Source organism: Homo sapiens, chromosome 4 (genome assembly GCF_000001405.40).
Source record: "Homo sapiens chromosome 4, GRCh38.p14 Primary Assembly".
NCBI lineage: Eukaryota > Metazoa > Chordata > Mammalia > Primates > Hominidae > Homo > Homo sapiens.
In genome coordinates this window covers 71779297-71805851 of record NC_000004.12, presented here as the reverse complement: position 1 = coordinate 71805851, position 26555 = coordinate 71779297, and the positions used below count along the sequence as shown (strand labels likewise).

The 26555-nt window shown below is 37.3% G+C and overlaps 1 protein-coding gene across 4 annotated transcripts in view; it reads left to right on the top strand.

The window, feature by feature from the left end:
- GC (GC vitamin D binding protein) overlaps positions 332 to 26555 on the top strand; it is a 63828-nt gene continuing 37604 nt past the window's right edge. For 2 of the 4 annotated variants that reach the window (NM_001440458.1, NM_000583.4), the window contains exon 1: positions 21773 to 21891. In NM_001440458.1, the coding sequence (NP_001427387.1) occupies positions 21834 to 21891 (58 nt within the window). In that variant the 5' untranslated portion in view covers positions 21773 to 21833. Of the gene's footprint in view, positions 511 to 1810; positions 1927 to 21772; positions 21892 to 26555 lie in introns of those variants that run through there. The other 2 variants (NM_001204306.1, NM_001204307.1) reach the window with 2 other exon arrangements.

Below are 26555 nucleotides of genomic sequence, written 5' to 3'. Positions count from 1 at the left end.
CTGGTGAGAGTGGTGAGAGAAACTATAGGGAAAGAGCAGACCTTCTGAAAGGTTACAAGACTCTGCACAGCTTTGAGGGAGAATAAGCTGAAGGCAGCTGTTCTCCAACCCTGAGGCAGAGGGCAAGGAGTGGGTTCAAGGAAGGGTAGGGGAATTTATCTTAAACAGGTTTGTTTACTTATGTTGACCAGGAGCTGACCTTTGATCATCCATGCTGCCTGACTGCTCCCTGAAAGGTGGAATGATGCTAATTACCCGCAGATTGTGTTTACTCCAGGCTTTCAGCATTATGTCTCTATTGAATAAAAGCAAGCAGCCCCAGCTGTTTGGGACTGCTCATTCTTCAGCCACTAGTGCTGGACAGTCCCCTAGCTTCTCTTACACTGCATACCTGTGTCTGAGTACTCTTTTCATCAGTCACTCAGCCAGGGTCTGCAGCATGAACCCAGCAGCTGGTGTCCCCTATGAGGAACTCAGCAACAGATTGCGACAGAACCCTTGAGAACAAAGGTAAAGTGACTGCCCAGTCAATAAGTAATGGGTGCCTGCTTGGGATTTCCAAGTTTGAGGGAATTTTCAAGCTAGGGTTTCATCATGGGACAACAGTTATCAGCTCAACAGCAAATATAAAAGTATTGAAACAGCTGCTTAAAGCTAGTGAAGCCTGGGTTTCCCAGGCTCAATTAAGGGACCTAATGCAAACTGTTGTTTCCCATAACCCATGATTCCTGGAAGAAGGCATGCTAGACCTAGAGCTCTGGGAACAAGTGGGCAGAAATCTTAAACAATATCATGCACAAGGGCAATGGGTACCAGTAACATCTTTAACATTATGGGCCTTAGGGCTGCTTTGGCCCCACTCGACTCAGAAGAGCCTAAACAGGGAAGGGAGAAGGAACCATCACCTACCTTACTGCCTCCTCCTCCTCCTCCTCCCTCAGCCCCGCTGTTACCAGGTAAAGATACAAACAAGGAAACAGAGGTTTTTCCTGACCCCCCTCCCCCAGTAAACTGGAAAAAAGACAAGGGATACACAACAGTTATGGGACCCTGTCTTAGGCAAGCGGCATTAGAAGGGTAGCTCTTGGCCTGCCCAGTGATGCAAGACGAACAAGGCAATTGGGTATATGAACCCATTACTTTCGACACTTTTAAAGAGAAAAGGAAAAGCATTAGAGAAAATGGAGCTGCTAGCCCATTTATGAAAGGATTAATTGAGGCCATAGCAGATAACTTCCATATAACCCCATGGGACTGGTCAGTGCTAGCTAAAACAACTTTGGAGGCCAGTCAATACCTCATCTGGAGGGCAGAATATGATAAGTTTTGCAAACAACAAGCCAACCAGAATCAATTGGCTGGCAAAACATAAAGGCTGCAATGCTCCAGGGGAGGGGTCCGTCTGTTAATATACAACCTCTAACCATGCCCATCCCTGTTAATCTTTGGGAACAGGGCCCATTAGCCCACACTGCGTGACTGCTCCCCAAAAGGGGGAAAAATAATGCTAATTACCCACAGATTGTGTTTGCTCCAGGCTTTCAGCATTATGTCTGTATTGAATAAAAGCAAGCAGCTCCAGCTGTTCACACATTTGATTACAGCTGGTCCAGCTGTTCAGGACGGCTCATTCTTCAGCCACTAATGCCAGCCAATCTCCTAGCTGCTTTTACACTGCATACCTGTGTCTGACTATTCCTTTCATCCATTGCTCAGCCAGGGTCTGTGGGACAGACCTGGCATATAATTAAGCTTATTGGTGGAGCTTGCATACAAATCTTTGTCTAAGACCAACGTTGATGCTCTTTTCACTGTTTTTTCAAAGAGATTGCTTACTCCACCAGGAGAATGATATCTACCTATTCTACCACTGGTGATGATCTGGACTAGTCCAACTGGTAGGAAATGCTGTGGTCTTGGAGTGAGGTACTGCGTTCTAATTCCAAATAATTTCAAGTTACCATTGGTACTCTCTGAGCTTTAGTTTCCTTATAAAATGAATTTACAATGTTCTGACTACCAACACAGAGGATTTCTGTGCAAAGCAAATAAAATTAAAAATATAAGAAAGTGATTTCTCGATTGTCAAGGAATATTGATGTGTATGAGAACTGTTAGTGGTATTAGCTCTCATCTATATCCATTCATATTTCCAAAAGACAGAGTATGTTGAGAGCGATGAGTTTATACCAAATTTTCTGAGGAAATGAAATAGAATCCCAAATCTCTGAAGTAAGATCACCAAAAGTAAATAATACATAGAATACCAGAAATACCCGGTATTTTTACTGCACTATTGCCTTTTATATTTAATTGGATTCATTTCTCTGAGTGCATCATCATATAGAACTCAAATGACAATACCTTGAATAAAAAAGAAGTTTGTAAAGTTATTTATCATCATTGATTATGCATTAACTTCTTGTTTAAAATTTTCACATTTGAAGTGAAACTCATGTGTACTTACTACCAGGGAATCAACAGAGGTTCCACTTTTTAAAGGAAGTAACTGGATTAGAAATAGAATAAGAATAAAAACAATTTTTCTGTTACTAGAAAACAACTTTCCTTTACTAGCTCTTTTTATGTTCAGCCAAATCAGAGTACAGGTATGGCATCACACAAAGAGTTTGTTAAATCTTTGGATTCTACAAATGTTGACTGATATAAGTCAGAGGAAGAAGTAAAATAACAAGCCTCACTCTTTTTAAACATAACTCTCCCTAATCCTAGTCATGTGGTATAAGCATAGCAACACATTATTCATAACATATTCTTTATTATCAGACTGTAAGTTCACCAGATCCCTTTCTTTCTATCTCATTCACACATTTGAATACAGACGGTCCCTGACTTATTATATAATGGTTTGACTTACAATTTTTTGACTGTGATGGTGTGAAAGCTATACATACTCAGCATGCTCTTCAGTGTAAGACAGGGTTGTGGCTGGATTAAACTCATCATAAATTGATTATATCATTAAGTCCAAAGCACACTTTTGACTTACAATGTTTTCAATTTTTGATGGGGTTATTGGGGTGTAGCCCCATTGTAAGTTGAAAAGCATCTATATTTCAGATGATTGTTTCACTGAATGAGGTAGCAATTTGACAGCTATCCAATCAATTCAATAAAAAGAATGACTTAATGGCACAAATTAAACTCTCAGATATCAAGAAAGAGCAAAGAACTTGATAGTACAAGTGGTTCCTAACTGCAGTGGTTCAACTTAATGACTTTTCAACTTTAGGATGGGCTTATCACAGTATTAAATGCATTTTCAACTTATGACATTTTCAACTTGTAATGGGTTTATGGGCATGCAGCCCCATTTTAAGTCTAGCAGCATCTGTATTGTATGCGTTAATTTTTAAAAATTCCCTATTAATATTGCAAGTGCTAATTAGGCTATCCTAAAGATCTTGTTTTTCTCTAAAAGATTGTATGGGCCTAACCTAATCAGTTCGGACATATCTCTGTGCAGACTACCAAATCTCGTTTTGCATGTGCATAATCCTAGAAGGTAAATGTCAATCCAGAAAAAGAAAAGGATACACAAAAATAATATGCAGCTTAAACCCCAAATAAGCACTAATTGCATTGATTAAAAGCACTAGATAACCTAAGACTATTAAAATAGTGAAATGTTAACTGGAATAGATAAAAACAAAATAATTTAAATGATAAATTAATGATGCTATTCACATAATGGTTTATATCTGATGTTCAGAAGCAAGATGAATAAAATCTACTGTCCAAACAAAGCAAGAAATAATGGGGTTTTAAAGGCTATAGTAAAGTCAATAACTTCAAACAATTCAATATTTTGTTCACTTCCACAAAATTAGAGAATAATTAACCTGGCATTTTCAAACACTTAGTCTTTCCAGTACTAATACTAATTTTTAATCTAAGCATTGTAATTGACTTCCAGGGCAGGCAATAAAAAAAAAAAAAAGAAGAAAGAAACAGGAAAAATAGGAAGGAAGGAAAGAAAGAAAAAATTACCATGAAGTTTAGAGAAGTGGAAATATTTAAAAAGTGACATCCAGTTATTTTTAAATTTCAGAATAAAATATGCTAGTTAAATTTACTCTTAGATAATTGCTTCATTATTATTATTCATTTTTATAGGCAAAGTTTATATATATTTTAGGTATTTTAAAATTGTGGGCATGTAGAGTATTTTCTCTTTTAGGTATGTGCCATACTAGAGTTTCTTCCATAAGAAACCGTTAAGGAGGTCCCTGTTTTCATGTGTTGGACAGCAGGTGATATAAGTTTGAGATTTCTGTGAGTAAGGAACTTCATAAAGTGAGCCCCGAAGTTGCCCTGGCTCTCTATGTGTCAAAAATGTCCTGACCTCAGTGTACCAAGCTGGAATCCAAGCATAGCACAATGGTCCCACTGAGCCGAGGAGGCAGAGGAGTCTACGGCAGCAAAACCAGTGGAATTTGCAGGGCAGAGTATTAGAGGAGAAGTCTGCATGGGAGTAGGAAATGTGCTCAGAAGACTATGGAGGATTTAATTTATGACTTTGAGACTGTAGTCATTCTAATAGGTGTAAAGCGATATTTCATTTTGGTTTTGCTTTGCATTTCTTTACCTCTAATGAGGTCAGACTCCTCCATGTGCCTATTGGATTTGTGTATCTTCCCTAGAGAAATATCTATTCAGATCCTTTGCCCATTTAAAAATTTGGATTATTTGTCTTTTTTATTGTTGGGTTATAAGAGTTCTCTCTTCTGGATATGAGGCGCTTATCATATATGACTTGCAAATATTTTCTCTCAATCCGTGGGTTGTCATTTCACTTTCTTGATAGTATCCTATGAAGCATAAAGTTTTAATTTTGATAAAGGCCATTTTTCTATTTTATTTGATATTCATTCTTTTGGTATCGTATCTAAAAATCCATTGCCAAATTTGAGGTCATGAGGAGTACCCCAATCTTCTAGAATTTAGTTTTCTTAATTTGTTCTAAAAATGTAATAGTGAAATAGAAAGTGTAAAGTGTCTGATCATTAGAGAAATGCAAATCAAAATCACAATGAGATACCATCACATGCCAGTCGGATGGCAATCATTAAAAATTCAAGAAACAACAGATGCTGGCAAGGCTGTGGAGAAATAGGAACACTTTTACACTGTTGGTGGAAATGTAAATTATTTCAACCACTATTGAAGACAGTGTGACAATTCCTCAAAGATCTAGAACCAGAAATACTGTTTGACCCAGCAATCGCATTACTGGGTATATACCCAAAGGAATATAAATCATTCTATTATAAAGATATATGCACACGTATATTTACTGCAGCACTATTCACAATAGAAAAGACATGGAACCAACCCAAATACCCATCAGTGACAGACTGCATAAAGAAAAGATGGTACATTTACACCATGGGATACTATGCAGCCATAAAAAGGAATGAGATCATATCCTTCGCAGGGACATGTATGATGCTGGAAGCCATCATCCTCAGCAAACTAACATAGGAACAGAAAACCAAACACTGCATGTTCTCACTCATAAGTGGGAGCTGAACAATGAGGATACATGGACACAGGGAGGGGAACAACACACACCGGGGCCTGCCAGGGAGGGTGAGGGGAGGGAGAGCATCAGGACCAATGGCTAAAGCATGCAGGGCTTAATACCTAGAAGGCGGGTTGATAGGTGCAGCAAACCACCATGGCACACATTTACCTATATAACAAACCTGCATGTTCTGCACATGTATCCCAGACATTAAAGTAAAATTAAAAAAAAAAAAAGGAAGTGAAGTGTCAGCTATAAATCTCCATGAATTGTGTGTTGATTGTTCTATTGTTTTCATGAATGTCCTGTGACATAAATTGCTTCAAACACTGATATCATCAAATTTGGCCTCCTTGGTAGTGATAGCTCCTGAGGCCAGTGTTTGAGATTTGTTCTGACCCCAGGAGGGCTCCTCACAGCTGTGTCTATCCCTATTCCTTTCCAGCAATCTAGCCACACTATGGCTTAGACTACATCTCCAATGAATCTATCAACCTCCCTCCCTAGTTGCCTTTCACCACAACCTTCACTGCTTTTTTGTTGTAAATGAAATCAGTTTCTTTGGGAAGAGATTCAGAGCTCTCTATGCTAGAGTATGCTTCTCCTCCCAGGTAAAATCTTCAAGACGTTGGTCTGGTGTTGTCTGCTGGTAGGCACAATGTCATGCTTCTCTCTAAGAGACCCCCACACTTTAGAGCTGAGTACTCAGTGGAGGGGGAAGCCATCAGCCCCAGGTCCCCCTGGCTTACCTCTCCTGACCTAGGACTCCTGCCAAAGCAAGAGCAATCAGGATTTAAATAATCTCAGCAGTGTCATGCCCAAGGTTGAACCTACATCTTATGAGCTAGGGTTAGACAGAAAAGAGCACTGGTGAGCCACACTCACCAGGAACTTAGCCTCACCAAAAGTAGGTGAGGGCAGGAGAAGAAAGGCTGTCATCCTGCCCATCTTGGGAAGATAGCCCTCCATTGAGAGATGGGGGTAAACAGAGTCCTGTTCTCTCAGTTATATCTGTCTCGCTGAGCTGGGAGGCAAGAAGGGAATGAGTGGATCTTGGTTCAAATATTGCAGATTTACTTTTCTTACCAAGTGTGGTAGATTTTCTTGAGTAAATGCTTCATTTGCTATATGCCCCTAGAACCACTTCCAGAGACTTGAAATGATTCCTTTTAAGATAATTTTCACCCATTTCACTATAGAATAAGTCCATGAAGCTCCTCACACTGTCATGCCAAAAGGGGGAACTACGGGGTTTCTTTTGGGCATAATGAAAATGTTCTAAAATTAGACATAGTAATGATTCCCAAATCTGCAAATACACCAAAACCCATTGAATTTCATACTTTAAAAGAGTGAATGTTTTGTATTTAAATTATATCTCAGTAATTCTGCTTCTTAAAAGTAAAAGGATATATGAGACTTGCCTAAAAGTGGCTAATAAGGTATTGAGAATAAAAAAAGAGAGACTACAAGTTAAGTAGTGCTAAAAGACATTGACACTCCCATCCATCTATAGTGGAAAGACCTCATTATGAGCTTTTTTACACCCAAGTATCCAGCTAAGACTCTGGAAAGACTAGACCTTGGAAGACTATACCTTAATACACTAATAAAGAAAGGCTTTTTGTAGACTCACTCTTATAAAGTCTAAAATCCAAGTCCTTATAAAAGCTATAGGAGATTGGGTTTGGAGAATGAGTCCCCCCAGTTAGAGGTGCTTGGGAACCATTTTGTGCCCTTCACACAACCACCCTAAGAAAAGACAAATCTAGCTCACACAGGTTCAAGATGATTAACCAGTAACTGAAGCACCAATAGAAAGAAAAGTCAAAGTTTTACAGTAAAATAACAGAACACAGAATCTTTGTAATATATCTTTAACAATGTCTATTGTATAGTAAGCAAAATTACTGCACTTGTAAATAAACAAACAAAAAAATGTCACTCATAGTTCAGATAAAAATCAGTCAACAGAAACCAACTCTGAGATGCTGCAAACACAGTATGTAGTAGACAAAGATTTAAAGCAGCTTTTATTAATAAAATGAAAACTTTAAAAGATAATATGTTGGAAGAATTAAAAGCAAATATAGTCAAGTGAATAGATAGGGAACATCAGCAGCAAAATAGGAACTATAAATTAAAATCAAATGGAAGTTCTGAAATGAAAAATGCTAAAATAATCTAATGAAATTGGATATATCAGAAGAGCAATGAACTTGAGATTAATGAATAAGAACTATCCCAACTGAAGAACAGAGACAACAAAGGTTGAAGAAACTGAGCAGGCACACATGGGATAATATCAAGTGGTCTAACAAAACATTGGGAATATGTGTAACTAAAGTTTTAAAGAGAAGAAAGTGAGAACAGGGCAGGAAAGTCATCTAGAAATAATGGTTGGACATTACATAAATTTGATTTTTAAAAAACCATTGACTTATGAGAAGCTCAATGAACCCTTATCAAGACAGATATAAAGAGAATCATATGATCTTCATTCAAGATGGCCGAATGGGAACAGCTCTGGTCTGCAGCTCCCAGTGTGATTGACGCAGAAGACAGGTTATTTCTGCACTTCCAACTGCGGTACCTGGTTCATCTCATTGGGACTGGTTGGACAGTGGGTGCTGCCCATGGAGGGCGAGCCAAAGCAGGGCGGGGCATCACCTCAGTCAGGAGGTGCAAGGGGTCGGGGAATTTCCCTTTCCTAGCCAAAGAAAGCCGTGACAGAATGTACCTGGAAAAAAAAGGACTTTTCCCTCAGTCTCAGCAACCAGCAGACCAGGAGATTCTCTCCCCTGCCTGGCTCGGCAGGTCCCATGCCCATGGAGCCTTGCTCACTGCTAGCGCAGCAGTCTGAGATTGAACTGCGAGGCTGCAGCTGAGCGGGAGGAGGGGTGTCCCCCATTGCTGAGGCTTGAGTAGGTAAACAAAGTGTCTGGGAAGCCATTAAACTGGGCAGAGCCCACCACAGCTCAGCAAGGCCTACTGCCTCTACAGATGTCACCTCAGTGGGCAGGGTGTAGCTGAACAAAAGGCAGCAGAAACTTCTGCAGACTTAAATGTCCTGTCTGAACAGCCCTGAAGACAGTAGTAGTTCTCCCAGCATGGCATGTGAGCTCTGAGAATGGACAGACTGCCTCCTCAAGTGGGTCCCTGACCCCGTGTAGCCTAACTGGGAGACATCTCACAGTAGGGGCTGACAGACATCTCATACAGGCAGGTGCCCCTCTGGGACAAAGCTTCCAGAGGAAGGATCAGGCAGCAATATTTGCTGTTCTGCAATATTTGCTGTTCTGCAGCCTCCACTGGTGACACCCAGGCAAACAGGGTCTGGAGTGGACCTTTAGCAAACTCCGACAGACCTGCAACTGAGGGACCTGACTGTTAGAAAGAAAACTAACCAAAAAGAAGGGAATAGCATCAACATCAACAAAAAGGACATCCACACCAAAACACCATATGTAGGTCACCAACATCAAAGATCAAAGGTAGACAAAACCACAAAGATGGGGAGAAACCAGAGCAGAAAAGCTGAAAATTCTAAAAACCAGAGCACCTCTTCTCCTCCAAAGGATTGCAGCTCCTCGCCAGCAACGGAAAAAAGTTGGATGGAGAATGACTTTGACGAACTGACAGAAGTAGGCTTCAGAAGGTCAGTAATAACAAACTTCACCAAACTAAAGGAGCATGTTCTAACCCATCACAAGGAAGCTCAAAACCTTGAAAAAAGGTTAGATGAATGGCTAACTAGAATAAACAGTGTAAAGAAGACCATAAATGACCTGATGGAGCTGAAAACCATGGCAAGAGAACTTTGTGACGCATCTACAAGCTTCAGTGGCTGATTCGATCAAATGGAAGAAAGGATATCAGCGATTGAAGATCAAATTAATGAAATAGAGTGAAAAGACAAATTAAGAGAAAAAAGAGTAAACAGAAACAAACAAAGCCTCCAAGAAATATGGGGCTATGTGAAAAGACCAAATCTACATTTGATTGCTGTACCTGAAAGTGACGGGGAGAATGGAACCAAGTTAGAAAACACTCTTAAGGATATTATCCAGGAGAACTTCCCCAAACCAGCAAGGCAGGCCAACATTCAAATTCGGGAAATACAGAAAACACTGCAAAGATACTCCTCAAGAAGTGCAACTCCAAGCAACATAATTGTCAGATCAGATCCACCAAGGTTGAAATAAAGGAAAAAGTGTTAAGGGCAGCCAGAGAGAAAGGTCGGGTTACCCACAAATGGAAAACCATCACACTAACAGCGGATCTCTCAGCAGAAACTCTACAAGCCAGAAAAGAGTGGGGGCCAATATTCAAAATTCTTAAAGAAAAGAATTGTCAACCCAGAATTTCATATCCAGCCAAACTAAGCTTCATAAATGAAGGAGAAATAAAATCCTTTACAGACAAGCAAATGCTGACAGATTTTGTTACCACCAGACCTGCCTTACAAGAGCTCTTGAAGGAAGCACTAAACATGGAAAGGAACAACTGGTTCCAGCCATGGCAAAAACATGCCAAATTGTAAAGCCCATAGATGCTAGGAAGAAACTGTATCAATTAACAGGCACAATAACTAGCTAACATCATAATAACAGGATCAAATTCACACATAACAATATTAACCTTAAATGTAAATGGGCTAAATGCCCCAATTAAAAGGTACAGACTGGCAAATTGGATAAAGAGTCAAGACCCATCAGTGTGCTGTATTCAGGAGGCGCATTTCACATGCAGAGACACACATTGGCTCAAAATAAAGGGATGGAGGAAGATCTACCAAGCAAATGGAAAGCAAAAAAAGCAGGGGTTGCAATCGGAGTCTCTGATAAAACAGATTTTAAACCAATAAAGATCAAAGAGACAAACAAGGCCATTACATAATGGTAAAGGTATTAACTCAATAAGAAGAGCTAACTATGCTAAATATGTATGCACCCAATACAGGGGCACTGAAATTCACAAAGCAAGTCTTTAGAGACCTACAAAGAGACTTTGACTCCCACACAATAATAATGGGAGACTTTAACATGCCACTGTCAATATTAGATAGATCAATGAGACAGAAGATTAACAAAGATATTCAGGACTTGAACTCAGCTTTGCACCAAGCAGACCTGATAGACAGCTACAGAACTCTCCACCCCAAATCAACAGAATATACATTCTTCTCAGCACCACATCACACTGATTCCAAAATTGACCATGTAATTGGAAGTAAAACACTTCCTAGCAAATGTAAAAGAACAGAAATCACAACAAACTATCTCTCAGACCACAGTGCAATCAAATTAGAACTCAGGATGAATAAACTCACTCAACACTGCACAAGTACATGCAAACTGAACAATCTGCTCCTGAATGACTACTGGGTAAATAACGAAATGAAAGCAGAAATAAAGATGTTCTTTGAAACCAATGAGAAAAAAGACACAAAGTACCAGAATCTCTGAGACACATTTAAAGCAGTATGTAGCGGGAAATTTATACCACTAAATGCCCACAAGAGAAAGCAGGAAAGATAAAAAATCAACACCCTAATATCACAATGGAAAGAACTAGAGAAGCAAGAGCAAACAAATTTAAAAGCTAGCAGAAGGCAAGGAATAACTAAGATCAGAGCAGAACTCAAGGAGATAGAGACACAAAAAAACCCTTCAAAAAATCAATGGATCCAGGAGCTGGTTTTTTAAAAAAATCAACAAAATTGATAGACCACTAGCTAGACTAATAAAGAAGAAAAGAGAGAAGAATCAAATAGATGCAATAAAATATGATAAAGGGGATATCACCACCAATCCCACAGAAATACAAACTACCATCAGAGAATACTATAAACACCTCTATGCAAATAAACTAGAAAATATAGAAGAAATGGATAAATTTCTGGACACATGCACTCTCCCAAGACTAAACCAGGAAGAATTTGAATCTCTGAATAGACCAATAACAGACTCTGAAATTGAGGCAATAATTAATAGCTTACCAAACAAATAAAGTCCAGGACCAGACAGATTCACAGCCGAATTCTACCAGTGGTACAAAGAGGAGCTGGTACCATTCCTTCTGAAACTATTCCAATCAATAGAAAAAGAGGGAATTCTCCCTAACTCATTTTATGAGGCCAGCATCATCCTGATACCAAAGCCTGGCAGAGACACAACAGAAACAGAGAATTTTAGACCAATATCCCTGATGAGCAATGATGCAAAAATCTTCAACAAATTACTGGCAAACCAAATCCAGCAGCACATCAAAAAGCTTATCCAGCATGATCAAGCTGGCTTCATCCCTGGGATGCAAGGCTGGTTCAACATAAGCAAATCAATAAACGTAATCCATCGCATAAATAGATCCAACAACAAAGACCACATGATTATCTCAATAGATGCAGAAAAGGCATTTGACAAAATTCAACAGCCCTTCATGCTAAAAACGCTCAATAAACTAGGTATTGATGGAACGTATCTCACAATAATAAGAGCTATTTATCACAAACCCACAGCCAATATCATACTGAATGGGCAAAAACCAGAAGCCTTCCCTTTGAAAACCAGCACAAGAAAAGGATGCCCTCTCTCACCACTCCTATTCAGCATAGTGTTGGAAGTTCCGGTTGGGGCAATCAGGCAAGAGAAAGAAATAAAGGGTATTCAATTAGGAAAAGAGGAAGTCAAATTGTCCCTGTTTGCAGATGACATGATTGTATATTTAGAAAACCCCATCGTCTCAGCCCAAAACCTCCTGAAGCTGATAAGCAATTTCAGCAAAGTCTCAGGATACAAAATCAATGTATAAAAATCACAAGCATTCCTATACACCAGTAATAAACAGAGAGCCAAATCATGAGTGAACTCCCATTCACAATTGCTACAAAGAGAATAAAATACCTAGGAATACAACTGACAAGGGATGTGAAGGACCTCTTCAAGGAGAAATACAAACCACTGCTTAACAAAATAAGAGGACACAAACAAATGGAAGAATATTCTATGCTCATGGATAGGAAGAATCAATATTGTGAAAATGGCCATACTGCCCAAGGTAATTTATAGATTCAATGCCAACCACATCAAGCTACCAATGACTTTCTTCACAGAATTGGAAAAAAACACTTTAAAGTTCATATAGAACCAAAAAAGAGCCTGACTTGCCAAGACAATCCTAAGCAAAAAGAACAAAGCTGGAAGAATCATGCTACCTGACTTCAAACTATGCTACAAGGCTACAGTAACCAAAACAGCATGGTACCCGTACCCCAACAGAGATATAGACCATTGGAACAGAACAGAGGCCTCAGAAATAACACCACCCATCTACAACCATCTGATCTTTGACAAACCAGACAAAAACAAGCAATGGGGAAAGGATTCCCTAGTTAATAAATGGTGCTGGGAAAACTGGCTAGCCATATGTAGAAAGCTGAAACTGGATCCCTTCCTTACACCTTACACAAAAATTAATTCAAGATGGATTAAAGGCTTACATATTAGACCTAAAACCATAAAAACTCTTGAAGAAAACCTAGGCAATATCATTCAGACCATAGGCATGGGCAAGGACTTTATGACTAAAACACCAAAAGCTATGGCAACAAAAGTCAAAATAGACAAATGGGATCCAATTAAATTAAAGAGCTTCTGCACAGCAAAAGAAACTACCATCAGAATGAACAGACAACCTAAGAATGGGAGAAAATTTTTGCAATGTACCCATCTGACAAAGGGCTAATATCCAGAATCTACAAAGAACTTAAACAAATCTACAAGAAAAAAAACAAAGAGCCCCATCAAAAAGTGGGCAAAGGATATGAACAGACACTTCTTAAAAGAAGACATTCATGCAGTCAACATGAAAAAATGCTCATCATCACTGGTCATCAGAGAAATGCAAATCAAAACCACAATGAGATACCATCTCACGCCAGTTAGAATGGTGATCATTAAAAAGTCAGGAAACAACAGATGCTGGAGAGAATGTGGAGAAATAGGAATGCTTTTACACTGTTGGTGGGAGTGTAAATTAGTTCAACCATTGTGGAAAACAGTGTGACGATTCCTCAAGGATCTAGAACTGGAAATACCATTTGACTCAGCCATCCCATTACTGGGTATATACCCAAAGGATTATAAATCATGCTACTATAAAGACACATGCACACATATGTTTATTGCAGCACTATTCACAATAGCAAAGACTTGGAACCATCCCAAATGTCCATCAATGATAGACTGGTTTAAGAAAATGTGGCACACATACACCATGGAATACTATGCAGCCATAAAAAAGGATGAGTTCATATCCTTTGCAGGGACATGGATGAAGCTGGAAACCATCATTCTGAGCAAACTATCACAAGGACAGAAAAGCAAACACCGCATGTTCTCATTCATAGGTGGGAATTGAACAATGAGAACACTTGGACACAGGGCGGGGAGCATCACACACAGGGGCCTGTCAGGGAGTAGGGGTTGGTGAAGGGATAGCATTAGGAGAAATACCTAATGTAAATGACAAGTTGATGGGTGCAGCAAACCAACATGGCACACATATACCTATGTAACAAACCTGCACATTGTGCACATGTACCCTAGAACTGAAGGTATTAAAAAAAAAAAGAAATACTTAGGTATAAATCCAATGAAATACATACAAGACCTATGTGAGGGAAACTACAACCTCTGATGAAACAAATCAAAGAATAAGTAAATAAATGTAGAGATATTTTAAGTTCATGGATAGGAAGATTCAGTACTGTCGAGGTTTACGTTCTTTCCAACTTGATCTATAGATTTAATGCAATCCCAATAAAAATCCCAGCAATTAAAAAGAAAAGAGAGAGAATCATACAGTGCATATCTGAGGATAATCACTGAAAAACAAAGGTAAAGTAATCATCTTAAAAGCAACCAGAGGAAAAAAAATACTACCCACAGGACAGCAATGAAAAGAATAACTGTCAACTCCTTATCAGAAGATAATGAAAAATCATGTTTATAGTGCAAAAAAACTTTTAAGCAAAAATAATAGCTTTGAAAGAAAAGTTTATGAAGCCTGAATAAACAAAAGGTATTTTAAAAATAGTACAAACAATGGGATTGGTAAATGATATACTGTTGTAAGCTTTTTAAATGTAGGAAATGTGATATAAAAATATGATGTATGAGGTGTGAAAATGTGAAGAAAAAACTGTCAGGTATAAAATAGAAAGTGAATTGCATTTCTCTGATGGCCAGTGATGGTGAGCATTTTTTCATGTGTTTTTTGGCTGCATAAATGTCTTCTTTTGAGAAGTGTCTGTTCATGTCCTTCACCCAGTTTTTAATGGGGTTGTTTGTTTCACACTCTGGGGACTGTTGTGGGGTGTGGGGAGAGGGGAGGGATAGCTTTAGGACATATACCTAATGCTAAATGATGAGTTAATGGGTGCAGCACACCAGCATGGCACATGTATACATACGTAACTAACCTGCACATTGTGCACATGTACCCTAAAACTTAAAGTATAATAATAATAAAATTAAATTAAATTAAAAAAAAGAAAGTGAAAAGTGTAGGATGAAAAACCAATAAACTTGGACATGTTAAAGATAAAATATTATTAGCCCTAGAGAAACCATTACAATTTAACAAAATTAATAGCTTAAAAATCACAAATATTAAAATAAAACAATAAAATATTCAACTGAGACAAAAGAGTCAGAAAATGAACAAAAAAAGGAAAAAATACAGAAGAAAAAAGTAGAAAGCAAACATATGAAAAAATAATCAGAATGTACATTCAAAACCAATTATAGCAATAAGAACATTAAACATAAATGAACTAAACACTCCAAGATTATGTCTTGATAAAACAAGCAAGATGTTTGAATGGTTCTTTTCAAGAGATTCACTTTAAACCCAAAGGCACAGCTAGATTGAAAGTAAAAATATGTAAAAAGATGTACCATTTAATCATTAAGTATAAGAAAGTTGTCATGGCTATATTATTAGGTTGTTGCAAAAGTTTTTTTGGTTGGTGCAAAATGGTTTTTACCATTGTAAGTAATGGCAAAACTACTAAATAAGAACATGACTTTTAATGGCAAAAACCACAATTACTTTTGCACCCACCTAATAGTATTAGACAAAACAGATTTCGAGACAAAGTATTATCATAGATAAAGAAGGACATACTGACCAAAGGAATAACTTATCAGAAAGATAATCATTAAAATTCTGTATGTGTATAATAACAGAGCTTCAAATTTCAAGAAGCAAAAACACAATAGACTAAAAACTACAAGGGGAAGTGCTAAAATTCTCAATGGGAATTGGAGATTTTAACACTCCTTTCCATTTTCTTGCCCTTTCCAGCATCTAGGGGCTGCCTGCATTTCTTGGCTCACAGATTCCTTCCATCTTCAAAGTCAGCAATCCCATCCCTCCAACCTCTGCTTTCTTTCTCACATCTCTTTCACTCTGATGTTCTGCCTCATTCTTCTACACATAAAGGACCTTTGTGATAACATTGAGCCCACCCTAATAATCCAGGAAAATCCCTGTATTTTAAAGTAAACTGATTAATTTTATCTGCAACCTCAATTCCCCCTTGCCAGGTAACATAACAGAATTACAGGTTGCAGGGATTAGGGTGTGGGCAACTTTGGTCGGCCATTATTCTGCCTTTTCCTGACTTTATAGATGGCTCTGAAAAGAAATTCCTGAAAACTGAGAAAATTCATTTCTCCTTCAGTATAGAGAATCTATTAGATCATCTAATATTTTAACTTATTTTGCAATATGATCCTGAAAACTTTTTAAAACTCACTCATATAACCCAAGTTAAGGGTCAGCTTTATTTATTCAGATTGCCAGTCCTTCCTCTTTAGAGTCCTGTTCATTAGAGAATGTACATAAAACAGCATTATTAGAAGCTCTTAACAAAGATTAGCCAGGCTATGAAAATTAACATTTGTTCTATTTTTTAGGACTCCATTCTATTCCTGGAAATATATATATTTAAAATCTAAATGTATATATGTACATTTGGGGACATCTATCAGGGTGGTTCACATATGAATGTTTTAGGATATATTGGCTTATTTTCTCATTCTCTCACATATTATATTTTATCTTTTATTCTCTTCTTTTCTCGATTCTCTCATTTTCTCTTTATCACCTTCTGCTTCTCTTTCTCTCTATACATAATGCAAAAATATACTACAATTGTCAATACTTGTAAAAGTAATTACACAGTTTTAATATTCAGACCTGTTTCTACAAATTACCTGGCTTCAGTGTTGGAAAATAGTTCATTAAAAAATTATTATAAAACCATTTTTTAATTAACTGAACCTAAATATTTTTACTTAAGAATACTAAGAACCTAAATATTTTACTTAAGAACATTTAGCTCACAGTTAACTAGTTATGACTATATATTTAACAGTGATTATTATGGCATTCTGCATTCCATTGACCAATAAAGGTGGAAAGAGGTGTAGCTGCCTCTCTGTGATTATCAGCTAAGTCTCATATAAACCTTGTTCCTGCACTATTTTTTAAATTCTATTTTCAATTTCTTTCTTTCTTTCTCATTCTTTCTTTTTCTTTTTTTCTCTTTCTTTTCTTTCTTTCTTTCCTTCTTTCTCCCTTTCTGCTTTTTTTCAAGCAGAAGATAAAATCATTTGCATCTAGTCTGAACCATCATTTCTCTTAAATATCTGTTTCTCTTCAGTGATGTATATTTCTTTATGGAAGTGTTTTTGGGAAAGTTATGGTTATTTGGCAGTTTGTTATACAAGACCTCATAAACTACTACAGCCTTAGTAAAGAGCATCATGGCAGAAGACAATTTATCTCTAATTGTTCCTCAAATTTTTATTTTAAAATAAATGAAACCATTTGGTTAATAAATTCATTTATATTTGTCAGCATTTTCTGAACTCCTGCACTCTGTGGAATATATTTCTATAACCGCCCCTATTGTTTTAAAATATGAATAAATCATTTGCAGATTTTCATGAAAATCCAAGTAAAATTAAAAATGAATTGGCTGGTTCATGAAAACCATGATTACTCAAATTATACCTGGATTTCAGTGAGCATAAACGAATTACAGAATTCTAGCATGTCTTTCATTTTTAAATCCAGGGTTGATAAATTTCTCTAGGCATTTAAATTCCTTCATTAAACTGATTATGACTAGTGTTTACTACATTCAGTTTCTATCTGTGCTAGCTGTGCTAGCTGTTGGGAATACCAAAATGAAGGTGATTTAGCTATAGTAGGAGCACTGTGGGAGAGCAAAGCACAGAGGAGGTGGACTCAGCACAACCTGGAAATTTGGGTGTCTTCCAAGCTCCAGAGTCATGGACCCAGCTGCCTACTCAAAATTCCACCTGAAAACATCTTCCATCAGACTGTGTGTCTTCTTCAGTGTCTTCTATTTTGGATATTGGCATTAATATCCATCCACTTGCACAAGCTAGAAACTTGGGCATAATTTCTCACTCTTCCCCCCTCAGCCAAAGTCTAGTCAATTACCACTCTCTGATGATTCTGTGTCTTAAACCATCTCACGCCTCTGCCAGCACCACAGGCCACACTTCTGTCATCCCTTGCTTGGACTTCTAAAGCAGTCTTCAAGCTACTCTCACTGTATCTACTCTTACCCCTCCCATTCTCTGCACCCTCACAACTCAGCACACTTGTCATTTTGTCTTCAACATCTGTCTTCCCAGCTAGACTAAGAAGGTCCATGAGGGGAAGAGCCATGTAGATCTTTTGATATGGTAGTACCAATAGCTTGCATGTTACTTGGTACAAAGTGGTATGAATTAAATATATGTTAAATGAATAAATGAAAGACTGACAGACGAGGGACAACAGACACGTAAAATAGAGTAAGGGAAGAAAGAAGAATGTGAACAAAGACAGTGGAAAGCTCAATAGCACAATGTGTTCAGTGAACCACAAGTAGTTCAACCGTACCTAATTTTAATGTACATACACAGCAAAGAATCCTTTTTAGAGGTAAGTAGGATTAATTTATGAACTTTAAGCACAGGCATTGGCCTAAGTCATTTTAAATAGGGAGGCAGAAACACAGTCTTATTTGCATTTTTGATAAATAATGACAGTAACAGAGGGGAGAATGATTTAAAGGTAGGTTAGTTAGAATGCTTTTCATTGCAAATTCAGCTAGAATAAGCTTAAGTAAAAAGAGATTTATTACAAGGATATTGGAATTTCTCATGGAAGTCAATCATAGCTAAATGGCTGAACTATAAGAATTTTCTGAAACCTGGATTGTGTTCTGTTCTTCTCTGTACATCAACTTTAAAGATATTACTTCGATCCACTAATATCAATTTTGTCAGGTCATTTATCAGGAAAAGATACTGATAATGCATTTTAATAGTATAAAGAGAATCTGAACGAAGAGAACACCAGACAAAATCATTCTGAAGAAGGTCATTTCTACAGGAGTACTGCAAGAGTTTTTAGAAGACTGTCGCAGCATTAAAGGAAGGTACTGTTCTGATAAAGAGCAGTTGTCAGTGTTATCTTTTAGTAACTAAGGTTTACTGAAAGAAGAGACATGGGATAGAGAAAAGAACTAAAGACAGGCTTTATCTGCCTCACAATTTTGCCTGGAACTAGCCCTAGTTAGGAAGAGATCTGCATTTCCTCTGAAGCCAATGGCAAGATGGAAAAAGAGGAAAGAGGGAAAGAGGCTACTTCAAATCAGTTTTTTACAGGAAAAACAGCTCCTGCAAAATTCTACTGCTTATGTATTCAATAAATAATTCTTGTTAAATATATATATTCAGTGATACATTTCTAGTTGCTATAACTGCTGCTATTATAGACAATGTGAGAAGGTTTGATTTGGTCTTTTTCACCCATTTTTTCCCCATCTGACTTACTAGAGTAATCATTGTCACATGAGGCCTCTCATTTAGGCCAATTATGATTATTTCTTCCCAGTTTTAGAATCACAGTAAGCAATCAACATTTGAAAGATTAAGGAAAGTTACATAAATAAGACTGAAAAAAAGGCTCATATATTTAGCTACTAGCCTGTTTTGCCGAATTTCAGTTAGAAAATTCAGCCAAGAGAATGCATTTGGCAGCTCGTATAGAGATTTCTCAAGAGGGCATCTAAATGAGATGTTGCAATTCTTGCTACATGTAGTTTATCATTAAACAAACGTGGTAAATATTATTGCAAAAGCAGAGATAAAGTTTAATTTTTTAAAAAATGAAAGAATGAGCTGGTCTTAAACTCTGTATCAAAATTCGTAGAAAATAATCTGAGTGTGTCTTTTTGAATGAACTAATCAGAAGATGACGAAATACAGTTGAATAAAAGGGATACAGAAGTATAAATACAGTGTATTATCTTAAAGAAAAATGAAAACTGTATCAATATGCTAATGTGTTACCTACCTCTTTTGAGTTCCGGGGTTCTGAGTAGTTTTTAAACTTTTTCACACTCATTTGGAGTATCATTTCCAAATAATTTGCCATAGAACTAAAATACATTTTTAAATTAACTTGCACAGTAAACTAGGAATTCAGCCAAAGGGAACTGAAAATTTAGATTTATAGTAATCAGGAAGTTGATCCTTGAACAAGATAGAGTTGGCTCTTGGACAGGAAAGCTATCTCCTTGACCATATGGATTTCCACTGGCCTTACAGAAATACTTGTGCTTTGATCTGGCATAGGTATCTTTTTCCAACTAGCTGGACTCTATTTTCTGAACCTAACACCCAAGGATTTTCAGTATAGATAGAAAATCTGACTAAACATGTAACTACCTAAATTGGTTTACTGAAATTTTGATAGACTCTGCCCATGTAGATAATCCTTGGCTACTGAGTTGATAATGAAGTTTTAAATCACTTATCTGCGGGACCCTGGACACAGGGCTGTCTTTAAACTCTTCCACTGAGTTCCAATGGCCTCATTAGTTTCATTGACCTTCACAGATATTATAAATTTGGAAAGCCAGTGGGAGAACGTGGCAATAACTAGAATAAGAGTAATAGGTGACATTAATCCATGTTACTATGTGATGGATGTTACCATGAGCCCTGCACCCAGATTACCTTAATTAACCTCATAGCAATGTTGTGTCAAATGTACTGAGTTATCACCACATTGCATATGAGGAAAATGAAACTTAGAGGGGTAAAATAAATTTCCCAAGGTTACACAGCTATGAAAGCTGAGTAGGGATTTGATTTTAGAGCATGTGTAACAACCTGTACCTGACCATTTCCTGAAAATAGGGCTACTGCAAAAACCAGGAGTGGAACTCATCTAATTCCAATGAATGATCTACCTATGACTCTCTAGACAAGTCACAGAATTTACCCAGTGCTCAGTTCACTCTTCTGTAAAATGAAGATGTTGGATTTCATGTCCTACAGGGCCTCTCTGAGCTCTCAAATTACATGCCCATAAAATATACTAGTTGTAAACTATTAGTAGAAGGAGCTTTAAAATCACTGTAGGGAGTCCAAGATTTGCCACTAACTTTTTATGATTGGCAGTGGTGAGCCATTTAACCTCTCCAGTTATTTGCCTCACTTCAAAGGTTATTTTTCATATATATGTCAGTGCTTCACAAAGTGCAATACAGCATAGAAATACAAAGTACTATGCCATCATCTAAAATAAGATTACTTCATAGCATCAGAATTATGGATTTAAAATATTATGTTGAATTGGCTTCTCACTCTTTTTCCCCTTTTACTTAGAACATCTGGTCTGCAATATTTTAAGGTAATGCTTATTTGTAGTAGATTTAAACAAAGAGAGGAAGAGAGGTAAAGACAGAGTTTCCGATTTTCCACTTACATATGAGAAAGGTGGGGTGTCCAAAGAAGACACACAGCCCTATACAGGGGGAGAAGGTGTGCGTTACTAACATATTAAGTAAACTTTAGTGAGGAACAGCAGTGGAAAATAATCTATATACCTTGGCTCTTTTGCAGTTTGACAAAGTTAATGATTAAAATCTCCTAGATTTTCCACTACAGTATCCCCAGGGTGTCTATTTACCTTGATTGATATTATTTTATCTCTTTTGGGCCAAAGATAACAGCCCCTTGCTTCTGTGTTTAATAATAATTCTGTGTTGCTTCTGAGATTAATAATTGATTAATTCATAGTCAGGAATCTTTGTAAAAAGGAAACCAATTACTTTTGGCTACCACTTTTACATGGTCACCTACAGGAGAGAGGAGGTGCTGCAAGACTCTCTGGTAGAAAAATGAAGAGGGTCCTGGTACTACTGCTTGCTGTGGCATTTGGACATGCTTTAGAGAGAGGTAAGATTTCTTTTGTTGTGACCATTTACAGGAATTCTTACTAGTTTAATTTTATATTATCACTTAAAAAATGAAATAAAAAGTAAGAAACAGAAGAACTGGTGAATATGTTGGGGAGAGGGATAAGGACCAGAGAGGCATTAATCAGAGCTCCACGATGCCATGTAATGTTGAATTGGAATTGACAAAAAAAATCAACACAAGAATCTTGTTAAAGAAAGTAAATGGAATGATATAATTTGTCAATTATCTCTTCCTCCTTTGTTGATAAGCAAGACCTAGAGAGAATAATTTAAAATTAGACATTTGCTAATTGTTACAAGATAATGCAAATAAAGACTGTGATCCACCATTAAGCATTTATTCAGACTTCAAATATTTATTACCATTGAGTGTAATATACCATGCCAATGATGCATGATGTCAACTTAGAGATTTCTTTGATCCCCTTAGAGGAATCTTATACATGCAGTATTTGAAAATGCATTGTATTTTTAAAAATATCCCTCACATAAAATTTTTCTATAGCTATGAAACATAACCACAAATAAGATAATTCAGTTATATTTTTCATTGAAATTATTCTTCAGATGGTGTGTTCATCTTTGGGCAATGTTTAAAAATTTTTTTACATGATAAAGACTGAGATTATGGGAAGTATACAACTTTATGAATTCTACAGCTGGGAAACTTTTCATCATTAGCTTCAATTTACTTTTCTGGCTGATTCTTTAATGTTCACAAGGGACATCTGCATTTATCCTGCTTTGTAAAATTAAGGTTTTCATTTAGTGCTGTCAGTTAACAGCCTCACCTAATTCGTACATTATTATTCATAATAGTAATGTGTTTTGCCAGTGGAATAAAATGTGTGTTCCCAAGAATTATCAGTTATTAACTGTAACATGAATAACCTTACTCTTGACTTTTTATTCTTCTTCTTACATTTACTTTTCCTTGGTCTTATTTCATCATTCAAATTATTTTAACTCGTCTTACCCATCAATTCTTAAGTAAGCTATGCGTCCTTAGGTAAGACTACAAAGTCTTTCCCAGACAGCATAGGGTATAAAAAAGCAACATAAATTGTGTCCCTTATAAGACCTCTGAATAGGCCATGTTCCAAGAAATCCCTTTAAGTCTTATTCTTTTGGCCAAGGATTTGCTGGGGCAGATCTGATCCTGAAAAATCCTACTGAAGCAGGTTCAGATCAGGGTCTTCAAACACAGAAGGTCCAATAATGGCTAGGAATTGGAATTATATATGGAGGCCATAAGCAGGAGCATGAATCACCATCTTAGACTGCTGACTCAATAGGTGCACATTGGCTTCACCTCAAAGAATGAAAGTGTCCTTTGGAGAATAACAGAGCATTCTGCAATCTATATTTCAACATTCTCAGCAGTCCTCAGATTCTGATGAAATGGATGCTAAAAACCTCCAGTCAGTCCCCTAGAAGATCTAAACTTCATTCTTATAACCCATGTGCCATATGCCAGATGATATCTTGAGACATACATAATACACTTGTAAGCATTAACTTTCAATATTTGGGGAGAGTAGTCCTGATCTATCAATTCTCTATTCTCTAATACCTGAGCATGACCCAAAGACCAAGTCAGCAGTTTACTTAGAAGCTAGCTGTGTTCTTCCTGGCAGGAAGTTACAAAGTGTACAGATTAAGGGAGTTCTGAGAACTCTTAGGTTCTGAGTAGCCTTGTATTGTGGGGGATTGGTTTGAATTGCAGTTTTCTCTGCCTGTTATAGTTCTAGAGAGCTGACCACCCACAGCATTTATTTAAGCACCTGTTTCAAAATATATTACACTCAAGACTTACCTTGAAAAGAAGTTTCTGTGGCCAAATATATTTAAGAAATGAGCCATAATTTATTCCTTCTTGGTGGTTTCACAATTCATGCCTTTGTCGTCCTAAAGGTTCTGAGAAACACTACAGGAAAGAAATCTTATCTAACTCAGAGTATCTAAACATATTGACCCTTTTCTACAATGTCTATACCTGTGGAACTATTCTTTGGAAACCTTGGGTCTAAAATGGATACTGTTACAGATGACCCTTTACTGGACAGGTTCCAATTAAGCCAGCCCTCTCCTATCAAACAGCATTGGGAATCTTGTTCCCAAGCCACTGGGTACATCTTGGAGAAGAGAGCTTACCAAATCTGCTAAATCTGGTTAGTACCATAAGAAAATGTCCACTTTTGCTACCCTATGAAAAGCAACAAGGCAGTATTTCCCAGTTGCCTACAAGTAGCTTCTTCCCCTAGGACTGAAATGGATGAAATACTAATATACAATATATCTTTCCCTCTTCCCTTCCAAAGAAACCAAGTAACAAAGACTGGTGATACAGCTATAAAATTTTTTTTTAACTTGCAGATAGAAAAGTTACCTTAATGACCAGGAAACATTTATAAAAATTGATTTTTTAAAATTAAACTACAGCAAAAAAATTCTCAGTTTTAAGTTACACACTGTTAACAGAGCACTAAAAATATTTTTTTTGCATTTTTTTCTTTTCTTTTTTTTCGATTCAAGTTTTCTTTTTTATTATTGTTATACTTTAAGTTCTAGGGTACATGTGCACAATGTGCAGGTTTGATACATATGTATACATGTGCCATGTTGGTTTGCTGACACCCATTAACTCGTCATTTACATTAGGTATTTCTCCTAATGCTATCCCTCCCCCTGCTCCCCACCCCATGACAGGCCCCAGGCTATGATGTTCCCCACCCTGTGACCAAGTGTTCTCATTGTTCAACTCCCAACTATGAGTGAGAACATGTGGTGTGTGGTTTTCTGTCCTTGTGATAGTTTGCTCAGAATGATGGTTTCCAGCTTCACCCATGTCCCTGCAAAAGACATGAACTCATCCTTTTTTATGGCTGCATAGTATTCCATGGTCTATATGTGCCACATTTTTTAAATCCGGTCTATCATTGATGGACATTTGGGTTGGTTCCAAGTCTTTGCTATTGTGAATAGTGCCACAATAAACATACATGTGCATGTGTCTTTATAGCAGCATGATTTAAAATCCTTTGGGTATATACCCAGTAATAAGATGGCTGAGTCAAATGGTATTTCCAGTTCTAGATCCTTGAGGAATAGTCACACTGTCTTCCGCAATGGTTGAACTAGTTTACAGTCCCACCAACAGTGTAGAAGTGTTCCTGTGTCTCCACATCCTCTCCAGCACCTGTTGTTTCCTGACTTTTTAATGATTGCCATTCTAACTGGTGTGAGATGGTATCTCATTGTGGTTTTGATTTGCATTCCTCTGATGACCAGTGATGATGAGCATTTTTTTCATGTGTTTTTTGGCTGCATAAATGTCTTCTTTTGAGAAGTGTCTGTTCATATCCTTTGCCCACTTTTTGATGGGGTTGTTTGTTTTTTTCTTATAAATTTGTTTAAGTTCTTTGTAGATGCTGGATATTAGCCCTTTGTCAGATGGGTACATTGCAAAAAGTTTCTCCCATTCTGTAGGTTGCTGTTCACTCTGATGGTAGTTTCTTTTGCTGTGCAGAAGCTTTTTAGTTTAATTAGATCCCATTTGTCAATTTTGGCTTTTGTTGCCTTTGCTTTTGGTGTTTTAGACATGAAGTCCTTGTCCACACCTATGTCCTGAATGGTATTGCCTAGGTTTTCTTCTAGGGTTTTTATGGTTTTAGGTCTAACATTTAAGCCTTTAATCCATCTTGAATTAATTTTTGTATAAGGTGTAAGGAAGAGATCCAGTTTCAGCTTTCTACATATGGCTAGCCAGTTTTCCCAGCACCATTTATTAAATAGGGAATCCTTTCTCCATTTCTTGTTTTTGTCAGGTTTGTCAAAGATCAGAGGGTCGTGACACAGCTACAAAATTATTAAGGTAATCATGCCAACAGGAAATAAACCACTGCAGTTGATAAGAGCTGTTGGCAAAAAGAGGTTTTTATTATGAACATTTTCCTTTTTGCTTTAAGCATTTCATTCACAGCATTTTTTTTTATTAAACATGATATAAAACTGCAAGAAGAAAGTTCCCTTTGGGTTGGTGGGTGAGCTACACTTTTCCTTCTCTTCCTTCCCTGTCAAAACAGCCCTACGCAAGGGCTGAAGTCATACAGCTCTCATCACTGAGAGCAATGTTAACCTCCCTGAAAATCAATAGCAATGTTTCATCTTACTGATATCAGGTGCAATGCCACATATGCAGTCACCAATATGTAATATAAGGAGAAGTGTGCACACTCTGTAAAACACCACCAGCTTAATCTATTTAGGACAGGAGAAAATGAAGAAACCTCTAAAAGGAATTGATGATGCCCTTCCCCAGTATTTTTGGTCACCTAACTTCTTCATTCTACCCATTGCTTCTTCTCTCTCTCTCCTATTTTTCTCATTCATTCTGATCTGACCACACTGGCCTCCACATTATCTCACACTCTAAGTCCTTTGCACCCCAGGGCTTTGCATTAGTTCTTCTCTATTCCTAGAACATTGATTGTCCAGATATTCTCATAGCTCCCTTCCTCACCTTCTTCAGGCATCTACTCCAAGTCCATTTATAGAGGGGGCTTCCCTAGCCAACCTACCACAAATAACACCTACCAGTCCATTATCTTCTATCCCCTTATTTGGATTTATTTTTTCTTC